The sequence below is a fragment of the Homo sapiens genome, chromosome 8 (genome assembly GCF_000001405.40).
Source record: "Homo sapiens chromosome 8, GRCh38.p14 Primary Assembly".
In the NCBI taxonomy this organism is placed as follows: Eukaryota; Metazoa; Chordata; class Mammalia; order Primates; family Hominidae; genus Homo; species Homo sapiens.
The window spans coordinates 59,726,452-59,730,053 of NC_000008.11; positions in this window are offsets into that span (position 1 = coordinate 59,726,452).

The window sequence follows — 3,602 nt, forward strand, 5'->3', positions numbered from 1 at the left end:
ATTTTGCTTTAATTCAGATCCTCACAGTTTTGCTCCCGGATTATGAATAGCTCTTAACTGGTATCCTTCACCTTCTCTATGCCTCCTTTCCCCCCTCCAGTTACAATATCGCCTCTATATCCAAGTTTTGAGGTCTGCAGCTGTGGTTTCCCATCATCTCAAAATAAATGAATCTAGCTTAAGCATCACTGAAAAAAAAAACAAAAAGGAAATTCGTGAAGAGATCGCTGCAGCTACTCCAGCAGAAGTGAAACTCTTGTACTTTTTGCAAATACTAACAAAACTGACAATATTTGACTCTCTGTTGCCTGCCCCATATGATAATATTCACTCTCTTTAGCATGCCAAAGAATAATTTATAATCTGATTTCACAATATTTCTCAGCATTTTCTACCAATGAATCCAACAAATCATCTTTCTTCCAATACATTGTGTTCTTTTACTCTGTTGTTCCTAGATTTCTCTTTCCTTTTATTGAAAGATACACTTGACCTGCTTGACTGAATTTATCTTTTGTGAATTTAACTTGACTGAATTTAACTTTGGTGAATTTATCTTCATTTTTGAATACCTAGTTCAATGGTTCCATCTTTGTAAACCTATCTCTGCAAACTCTGGCAGAACATTTCTCTGCTGTATCCTTAGCATTCTACTTAACATTCCTATCACAGAATGAACTGATTATGTTTGTATGGGATGTGTCTTCCTTCAAAGATGCCAAGTATCACAGATTAGGAACTAAAGCTTATTAATATTTGTGACTCCAGACCACAGCAGACATGTGTTGGTTAAAAAAAATTGTTTTAATAAAAGCATTCATAATTGAGTAAATTATGTATATAATTTAAATGTTTATTAGAATTAACATATAGAATTAGAATTTTATACATTAATATAGAATTGTTATATATATTTTTATATATAAATGTTAATATATGTAATTAGAATTAACATATAGAATTAATATGTCCAAAGAATATTCAGCAAAAAACAACATAGCAATAAAAATTGCTAGAATTATTTGTTTTATGTTGCATCTGAATAGACCAGGAAACTCATAGGTTTCCTAATATTTATGAAAACTATGGCTATGGCTGGACTGGTAACTTTTTAAATGTAGCATTATTGTCTAGTCAAAGACAATCTGTTGCCAATAAAAACCTGAGGAGAGAGAAAGAAGGAAGAAAGGAATGAAGGAAAGAAGGACAGCAGAAAGGAGAAAATACGAACGGGATTGAAGGAAGTATAAAGAGATGAACGTAGACTGTCAGGTAATACAGTGAATGAATGTAATATTTAATTTTTCTGCTTCCAGAATGCCCGGTAAAGAATAGAGAGAGGGTATGTAAAAATTCATGGTCAACTTCCAGTTTATGGCCTGACATGTAAACAGTTTGGAAGCTGTCACTACTGTTCAGAACAGATTGAAAATTACAATAAGAAATACAGTTGACCCTCTAACAGCACAGGTTTGAACACGTGGATCCATTTATACATAAATTTTTTTTCAATAAATATACTGGAAAATATTCTAGGGATTTTTGACAATTTGAAGAAACTCCCATATGAACCACATAGCCTAGAAATAATGAAAACATTAAGAAAAAGTTAGGCATGTCATAAATGCACAAAATATATGTAGATACTAGTCTATTTTATCATTTACTACCATAAAACGTATACAAATATATTTTTTAAAAATTAAAATTTATCAAAACTTATACATTCACTTACAGACCACAGTAGGCACCATTCATAGTAAACAGAAATGTAAACAAATATAAAAATGCAGTATGAAATCATAACTGCATAAAATTAACTATAGTATATACTGTACTACTTTAATAATTTTGTAGCCACCTCTTGTTACTATTGCATTGAGCTCAGGTGGCCATGTAACACTAATCGTCTCCACATGAGTAGTTTGTCTTTCCAGCAAATTGCTTATCACACTAAAAATAATCTGTTGAGGTTCTCACATGTTTTTCATAGTTTGTTGTACAATACTGTAAATCTTGAATAAAACCGTAGGACTCATATGAAATACCACGAGTGATGCTGGAAGTGCTCCCAAAAAACAGAGAAAATTCATAACATTACAAGAAAAAGCATAGCTTAATTATATATACTGTAAATTGAGGTCTGCAACTGTGGTTTCCCATCGTTTCAAAGTAAGTGAATCTAGCTTAAGCATCACTAAAAAAAAAAAAGGGAATTCGTGAAGGCATTACTGCACCTACTCCAGCAGAAGTGAAACTCTTGTACTTTTTGCAAATTATGTTATCTAGCATTGCAAATATAGCTTTTATGTGGGTACAGGATTGTCATAAGAAGGACATACCTATAAACTCTAATATGATTTGAGAAAAAGTGAAGTCATTATGTGATAACCTAACAAAAAGAATTCGAAGTCTCTAAAGTTGGAGAATTTAATGCCAGCAAAAGATGGTTTGATAATTTTAGAAAGAGGTTTAGCTTTTATTTGGGTACAGGTTTGTCATAAGAAGGACATACCTATAAACTCTAATATGATTTGAGAAAAAGTGAAGTCATTATGTGATAACCTAATAAAAAGAATTCGAAGTCTCTAAAGTCGGAGAATTTAATGCCAGCAAAAGATGGTTTGATAATTTTAGAAAGAGGTTTAGCTTTAAAAATGACAAGATAACAAAAGAAGTAACTTTTGCTAACCAAAAGGCACAGAAAAGTTCCCAGACAATGTAAAGAAAATCATTGAGAGGGAAGGATATATGCCTGAACAGGATTTGTTTGTTTGGAGACAGATTCTTACACTGTTGCCTAGGCTGGAATGGAATGGCATGATAATAGCTCACTGCAACCTCAAACACCTGAGCTGAAGCCATCCTTCTGCTTCAGCCTTCCAAGAAGCTGGGACTTCAGGCACATACCACCACTGAACAGATTTTTCATGCAGATAAAAGTGCCCTATTCTAAATAACGATTCCAAAGACGATATTTATTGGTAGGGTAGAAAAGCAAGTACTAGGATTTAGTGCAGAAAGCAATAACCTAACTCTGTTTTTTGTGCAAATGTTGTTAAATGTATAATTAGAGCTGCCCTTATATATAAATCTACCAACCCCTGAGTTTTGAAGGAAAAAAATAAACACCAGTTGCCAGCCTTTAGGTTGTACAACAAGAAGGTCTGAACAACAACTCTTTTTCTGGTTTGGTTCCATCAATGTTTTGTTTCTGAAGTCAGAAATTGCCTTGCCAGTAAGGAACTGCCTTTTGAAGTTCTTTTGATATTCGACGTTGCCCCTGGCCACCCAGAACCCCATGAATTCAGCATCGAAGACTTCTAAGTGGTCTACTTGCCCCGAAACATAACATGTAGATTCGGCTTCTAGATCAGGGATCATCAGGACCCATAAGACTCATTACACAGTACTCTATGGGAAAGAATTATCAACACTGTGGAAGAGAATTCTGATAGAGAGAACAACCTGAAATTCTGAAAGGACTGTACCACTGACGATGTCACTGTTGTTATTAAAAAGCCATATGCGCCAATAGCCAAAAAATTAGAAATTCCTACTGGAGAAAACAAGAAATTCCTAACTTCACAGAATTTATGAGA